The sequence below is a fragment of the Homo sapiens genome, chromosome 11 (assembly GCF_000001405.40).
Source record: "Homo sapiens chromosome 11, GRCh38.p14 Primary Assembly".
NCBI classification, from domain to species: domain Eukaryota; kingdom Metazoa; phylum Chordata; class Mammalia; order Primates; family Hominidae; genus Homo; species Homo sapiens.
In genome coordinates, this window is record NC_000011.10 from 50,161,326 (window position 1) to 50,169,888 (window position 8,563).

The following is an 8,563-nucleotide window of genomic DNA, read 5'->3' on the forward strand; positions in this document are numbered from 1 at the left end:
CTCTGCCCTTGTGGCTAACTGTGCAACTGTCATCACATTCTTTGACCCTCTGAGATGAATACCTTTCATTGTAAATGGGGCATTTTATTGCGATTACAGTTCTATGTTTTTGTGTTTACTGTGCTTTCAGCTCTGACATTCTGTGACTCTGAACAGCTTAGGGGCTGTTAAGAGATACAGACTGACATTTAGTATCCTGAGCTCTCATAGCACTTTGTGAGATTGTTATGGTTATCTTAGTCCTCTTATTTGAATACTTTTGCAAATTGCAGTCTAGGACTGATATCTTTTCTAACAATGCATTATTCCCATGGGCCATAATTTAGAGGTGCCCTTATCATGCTGATTAAGAAGATAGGCATGTTTTTAAATTGGATAAAATAGTGCCTACATCCCAGGAATGTTGTGTCATTGTATAAAAAATAAGAGTGATAATTAGTAACAATTATTATAAGCAATGTTTGAATATTTACTATGAGGTGTCTTACGTGGAATCTTTTATTTAATTCTAAGCACAAAACAAACAAGACTCTATGGGTAGGTACTCTTCATATTCATTTTAGAGAGGAGAAAGCAGAGCTAGAGAACTGAATAACTTGCCCAAAGTAAGAAAATTTGCAAGTGGCAGTATCAGGATTAGAACACAGGCAGCTGGCCTCCAGACCATGCACCATCCCAACCACCATACTTTACCCCTCTCAGTGCACAGATGGGTTTAGCCCATCATCTGACAATAGTGAGAACTCAATAAATGGAAACTATTGTGATGCCATATATTATTGCAGTGGGAATTCAATACCTGCTGGGTAATCAATGAATCTGTGAGTCATCTACACTGAGGCATTGAGGTGATAATTTGAAATCAGGAAGAAATGAGCTCATGCAGGGGAGAGGGCAGAGAAGGGTTGAGGACTGAAATTTGGAGGATGAATAACCATGTGCCCTAATGCACACTTGGATGGTGTTCAACCTTGAAATGACTATTCTTAAAACCTGCAGCAGAAACAAATGTTTCCTTCCAGGTCTGCTTGAGTGACTCTTGGATTTTGGTTCCAGCTCTTTAAAACTGTTTCTCCCACTCTGCTTCAAAGTCATGTCTTCCCTTTCAAAACATTTGCAATACAATAAATCCTACGTCCAAAGAGTCTATTGAAGTTTAGTTGCAAACATAACCACTTCTGTCCGGTGAAGATTAACAATGTTTCTGATATGGATAGTCCTGATTAATTGCTGTTGAAACTCCTGAGCTGAGTGTCAAAGCTGGAAAATGAACTCTTAAATGCACTCAAAAGACAAGAGCCCCCTGTATCCTTGAACAAAATCCAATTAAAGAGATTGCAAAGGAAAACACAAGAGACAGTATTAAATTCATGGTGATATGAAAGTTTCTTCTTCCGTTTTTGAAAAACCACCAGGTCATTGTTCACTAACAGACCTCTTTGATATTGACCTGCCTGATAAGTAAAAAAAAACATCTTTCTAAAACATTACTCTTGACTTCTCTTGTTAAACATACATTAGTCCTACAAAATTCTGGTTTGCAAATCCTGATGCTCAAAGTCATCCTAAAAGAACTAAGGGGAAAGGAAAACTCAGTCAAGAAAATAGAAGTGCTTAATTGTTTGTAATGTAGATTTTTAGATAAGGGGAGTATTAGTTGGTAATGTCCATTGGTGAACTGGCATCCTACTGTGTCCGGAATTGGTGGGTTATTGGTCTCACTGACTTCAAGAATGAAGCCGCGGATGCTTGTGATGAGTGTTACAGTTCCTAAAGGCAGCTTGTCTGGAGTTTGTTCCTTCTGATGTTCGGATGTGTTCAGAGTTTCTTCCTTCTGGTGGGTTCGTGGTCTCGCTGGCTCAGGAGTGAAGCTGCAGACCTTTGCGGTGAGTGTTACAGCCTTAAGGTGGTACGTCTGGAGTTGTTCATTCCTCCCAGTGGGTTCATGGTCTCAATGGCTTCAGGAGTGAAGCTGCAGACCTTCGTGGTGTTACAGCTCATAAAAGCAGTGTGGACCCAAAGAGTGAGCAGCAGCAAGATTTATTACAAAGAGCGAAAGAACAAAGCTTGCACAGCGTGGAAGGAGACCCGAGCGGGTTGCCACTGCTGGCTGGGGCAGCCTGCTTTTATTCACTTATCTAGCCCCACCCAGATCCTGCTGATTGGTCCATTTTACAGAAAGCTGATTGGTCCATTTTGACAGGGTGTTGTTTGGTGCCTTTACAATCCCTGAGCTAGACACAAAAGTTCTCCACGTCCCCACTAGATTAGCTAGATGCAGAGTGTTGACACAAAGGTTCTCCAAGTTCCCACCAGAGTAGCTATATACAGAGTGTCCATTGGTGCATTCACAAACCCTGAGCTAGACACAGGGTGCTGATTGGTGTGTTTACAAACCTTGAGCTAGATACAGAGTGCCGATTGGTGTATTTACAATCCCTTAGCTAGACATAAAGGTTCTCCAAGTCCCCACTAGAGTAGCTAGATACAGAGTGTCAATTGGTGCATTTACAAACAGTGAGCTAGACACAGGGTGCTGATTGGTGTGTCCACAAACCTTGAGCTGGATACAGAATGCCAGTTGGTGTATTTACAATCCCTGAGCTAGACATAAAGGTTCTCCACATCCTCACCAGACTCAGGAGCCCAGCTGGCTTCACCCAGTGGATCCCGTACTGGGGCTGCAGGTGGAGCTGCCTGCCAGTCCCGCGCTGTGCACTCACAATCCTCAGCTCTTGGGTGGTCAATGGGAGGGGGCAACATGGAGCAGGGGGCGGCACTCATCGGGGAGACTTGGGCCATTCAGGAGTCCACGGTGGGGGGAGGTTCAGGCATGGCAGGCTGTAAGTCTCAAGCCCTGCCACACCGGGAGGCAGCTAAGGCCCTGCGAGAAGTTGAGCACAGCAGCTGCTGGGCCAGGTGCTAAGCCACTCACTGCCCGGGGCTTGCAGGCTGGGCCGGCGGCTCCGAGAGAAGGGCCTGCTGAGGCCACACCCACCCAGAACTCGCGCTGGCCTGCAAGCACCGAATGCAGCCCTGGTTCCTGCTCACGCCTCTCCCTCCACACCTCCCTGCAAGCTGAGGGAGCTGCCTCCAGCCTTGGTCAGCCCAGAAAGGGGCTCCCACAGTGCAGCAGTGGGCTGGAAGGCTCCTCAAGTGCGGCCAGAGTGGGTGCCACAGCCAAGGAGGCACTGAGAGCAAGCGAGGGCTGCGTGGGCTGCCAGCACGCTGTCACCTCTCACTACCAAGGCCTGGTGTTTGACCTTTTCAGAGCTGTCTCCAAGGAATGACAGGGCACAGGGCATTTCTACCATATGAGTTTTATTGGATGGTAATATTATATCTAAAAAGCTGGATGACCTTGGACAAGTCACTTAATATTTCCATTTTGTTTCATTCTTGAATAACATGAGGATAACACCACCAGTCCTGCTCACAACGAAGTTGTGTTCAAGATGAAATGAGGTAGACATGTAACTGCTTTGTGAACTACAGAGCATGGCGTATGTGTAAGATACCATTATTATTGTTTTTATACAGCTTCTCCATTCTTCCTCATCTGGTCTGGCTAGCTCCTGATGCCATGGGTAGCAATTTTATGGGAAACTTGGGGCACAAAATTACAGAGGTGTTTGATGTCTTCACTCTGGAAGTCTGTTTTAAGCTCATGATTGTTGATTACTAAAAGGGATGCATCTGTGTTCAACACTTTCAATAAATGTCAGCTATAAATTTTTTCTTTATGATACAGTCCATGTTTTGTGTCTACTCTATTCATCAACTATGTGGAAAATAAGTTATATGATTTCAGGTGAGAACACCTCTGCTCTCACACAGTCATGATAAATAACAGTCATGATAAATAGCTCTTGTGAAAATGAGAAAAAATGTCTGCTTCATGTTTACTTGAGTAGAATTGATACATAAAATGGATATTTTATTTAAGTTATTATTTATTTTACAGATGAGGTTTCACTACGTTGCCCAGACTGGTCTCAAACTACTGAGCTCAAGTGGTCCTCCCACCTCTGCCTCTCAAAGTGTTAGGTTTACAGGTGTAAGCCACCATGCCTGGCCTAAAATTGATACTTTAAAATAATATTGATTGATAAACACATTTAGTTCAAATATATCCCTTAGGAAAAAATATATACATGAAAAACTATACACACACACACACACACACACACTCATATATGTATACATACATACATGTTATATACAAACATCAAGTTTAGAAAAGAACAGAAGAATCTATAAGGAAAAAAGGCAATGGGAAACAATGTCATGTTAGCCTCAGCCTTAGAGAAGAAGCATTTTAATCAGACAATCTCATATGAACTGAAATAATTTCTAAATAATAGTTGAATGACGACATAACAAAAATATAATTGTTAGGAGATACTGCATATGCGGTAGATCATAGCATTTATTCAAAATAGTCACTGATCCTCTCTTTCAGACCCATTCCTCTCAGGCCACCAACAATAGTACCAAGAGAAGTGGGGCACTTCTATAAGACACCTGAACATGTGAATGTAACTTTGGATGACAGGAAGAGGTTAGAATGCTTTGGAGAGCTCAGAAGAAGAAAGGAGGATGTGGGAAAGTTTGGAACTTCTTAGAGACCTGTTGAATGGTTTTGACCAAAATCCTGATAGAGATATGGACAATGAAATCCAGGTGAAGGTGGTCTCAGATGGAAATGAGGAACTTACTTGGAACTGGAGTAAAGGTCACTCTTCCTATGCTTTAGCAAAGAGACTTGTGGCATTTTGCTTCTTCCCCACAGATCCCTAGAGATCTGTGGAACTTTGAACTTGAGAGAGATGATTTAGGGTATCTGGTGGAAGAAATTTCTAAGCAGCAAAGCCTTTGAGATGTGACCTGTCGGTTTCCAAAAGCATATATTCATATGTGTTCACAAAGAGATGGTCTGAAATTGGAACTTCTGTTTAAAAGGGAAACAGAACATAAAAGCCTGGAAAATTTGCAGCCTGACTATATGGTAGGAAAGAAAAACCCATTTCTCCCATTTTCTGAGGAGAAATTCAAGCCAGCTGCAGAAATTTGCATAAGTAAAGAGAAGACAAATGTTAATGGCCAAGACAATAGGGAAAATGTCTCCAGGACATGTCAGAGATTTTCAAGGCAGCTCTCCCTGTCACAGGCTTGGAAGCCTAGGAGGGAAAAGGGTTTTGTGGGTCCTGCTGCTCTGTGCAACCTCAAGACATGGCACCCTGTGTCCCAGCTGCTCCAGTTCCAGCCATGGCTAAAAGGGGCCAAGGTACAGGTTGAGCCATTGCTTCAGAGGGTGTAAGCCCCAAGCCTTCAAGGCTTTCACGTGGTGTTGGGCCTGTGGGTGTGCAGAAGGCAAGGGTTGAGCTTTGGGAGCCTCCGCCTAGATTTCAGAGAATGTATGGAAATTTAGAAGTCTGCTACAGGGGCAGAGCCCTCATGGAGAACCTCTACCAGGGCAATGCAGAGGGGAAGTTTGGGGTTGGAGACCCCACACAGAATCCCCACTGGGGCACTGCCTAGCGGAGCTATGAGAAGTGGGCCACCATCCTCCAGACCCCAGAATGGTAGATTCACTGGCAGCTTGTGTCATGTGCTTGGAAAAACCACAGGCAATCAATGCCAACCCATGAAATCAGCCATGGGGGATGTACCCTGCACAGCCACAGGGGCAGATCTGCCCCAGGCCTTAGGAGCCCACCACTTGCATCAGCATGACCTGGATGTGAGACATGGTGTCAAATGAGATCATTTTGAACCTTTAAGATTTAATGACTGCCCTGCTGGGTTTTGGACTTGAATGGGGCCTGTAGCCCCTTTATTTTAGTCAATTTCTCCAATTTGGAATGGGAACATTTACCCAATGCCTGTACCCCCATTGTATCTTGGAAGTAACTAACTTGTTCTTTATTTTCCAGGATCATAGGCAGAAGGGACTTGCCTTGTCCAATGTAGATTCATTCAACGTAAGCTTACCCAATATCAACTATTTAATCTAGGAGGGTGCTTGTGATGGTGCACATGCTGGCTCTTCTGCCTCTGCTCATCTGGCTGTATTAGGTAACCCTAATATGCTGATCCTCACAAGATGTGGTGCCCTTCATTGGATGCAGTCAGCTCACACAGGTTGGTACTAATAAGATACTGTGGCTAGAACTGGGCCATGGACTCAAAACTTACACACACACACACACACACACACACACACACACACACCATATGTGGACTTAGGGTATTTTATTTCTTCCAGCAAAAAAAAAAGCATTTAAATAATATATTCCTTATGGTAGAATTTCAGGCAAAGTAGTAGAGCTATTTTATAGCAGGTGGCCATTCTTAATCTTCCTTAAGTGTACCTAACCCAAGGGTCTATTATCTTCTTGTACATAAGACTTGGTGATAAGATTGTCATCTTTCTAAATAAGGTCAAGTTTAAGAGATTTCATACACGTTTGCTACAAAGTCAAGTTTAAGATATTTCATATATGTTTGCCACATCTGAGATTTTTAAAAATACTTCTAGTTTAACATAATTTTATGTACATTCTTCCAAATACTTTTTGCTTTGCCCTTCACTATGTTGAGGTAAACCTGAGCCACATTTTTACCTTTCATTCCTAAGAAACACATCAAAATATTAGACCCATCAAACATTTATTGAAGTGTCAGACGATATTTTCAATAAAAAGGGGGTTTCAAGGGCTAAAATTCAGGAAGTTAATGTGCCAGACTTAAACATACTATGATCTCAAAAAGTTTAGGTTTGCTTCAGAATGTAAAATTAATCAATACAAGATGGGTCTACAATTTAGAAAAACATATCCCTCTTTCCTTTAATTCTTTTTCTGTCACTACTATTTGTGAGAAAACAACAGAAATGTTACAGAGTGAAATGGACCTGTTTGCTTTTAAAGTTTTGTTTGTTTGTTTGTTTGTTTGTTTAGTTTGTAATTTAGAACGGTTTGAAACAACGTTTCTCAGAGTGTGCTCTGTGGAACATAAGGCCCTCAAAAAGTACCTCACCAGAAAAAGCTCTCTTGTCAACTAAATGGGGAGAGTGCTCCATCGCGTTTCCTCTCTGGGAGGCTCATAATGTGTGTTACCATCTGGAGGCTCTGCAAGAATGGAGAGTAGTAAAAGAAGATTTTTCACTTTAACCCAGCATTGTTTGCTTGGCGAGTATATCTGTTAATATCCATGGATTACATTTGGGGAAATACCAAGTTTTTCATAGTTACTTAACCCTTGAATATTTATCCTCTTCAGAGCATGGAAGCAGTGGAATGAACCCGTTAGATATATGGACTTCATTTTTAAAAATTTTATTTATTTATTTTTTTGAGATGGAGTCTCGCTCTGTCCTCCAGGCTGGAGTGCAGTGGCCCGATCTCTCCCCACTGCAACCTCTGCCTCCCAGGTTCAAGAGATTCTCCTGCATCAGCCTCCTGAGTAGCTGGTACTACAGATGTGCACCACCACACCTGGCTAATTTTTTTTTCATATTTTTGTATTTTGTATTTTTAGTTTCACCATGTTAGCCAGGCTGGTCTCAAACTCCTGACCTCAGGTGATCCACCTGCCTCAGCCTCCCACAGTGTTGAGATCACAGGCATGAGCCACCACACCTGGCCAGATATATGGCCTTTAGACTCAGACAACCTGAGTTCAAACCCCAATTCTGCTATTTGCCAGGTGTGTGACCTTGAGCAATAACTTAACATCTCTAAATGTCAGTCCATAGCTAAGCTGCCAGTAAATATGAAGTTCATTGCAATTTTTCTTTCTGACCTTGTCATTCAGAAACAAAATGATAGATTTGCATGGATGATGGATTTCCCAACAGGTCAATTTTCGCATCTGGAATCGACTTTAAACGTGCTCTACCACATTAAAGTCTAAGGACGTCAGTCTCACTTGGAGGCACACTGCAGACACAAGCAGGGCTTCTTCCTAGTCCCTTTGTCCTTTCAGACTTCTCCCCTTCTTGCTCCCTCTCTTCTTCTTAAGCTTTCCAGCTCCACTACTGCTTTGGCTAACTTATTTGGGTTCCCCCTCTCTCATTCATCTAGCACCAGCTGAACTGATTTAGGGTTACCTGGCTATGTTTTCCTAATCTAATTCGACAAATATTTACTGAGTACCAAGGTGGTCCTTCAATCACCCTGAGCACCCAATTCCAGGTTATGACTTCTCTAAAGGACAGAATTTGAACGTTTACATAATATGAGGGGGAAAAAAGAAAACGTTTAGCTTCTTTGGCAAGCTATCGATAAAATAGCTGAAATTCAAGAAGCCTTTTAGTTAGGAGGGAGAGATTGTGAACACAACAGGAAGAAGCCCCAGGCTGAGTGGCAAAGGTTGAGATTTTCTATCGTAAGCCTCACCCAAACCCTTCCTCCCTGAAAGCTGCTGAAGGAGCTTTGGCATGGGCTCATCCTCCCGTTGGCTGATAAGCGAAGCCCTGTTTCATATTTAACTCGCTGCAGTGCAGGCGGGGTAGGGGTGGAGATGCGTCGTTTATAAGGGGAGCTGTGACAATCTTCTC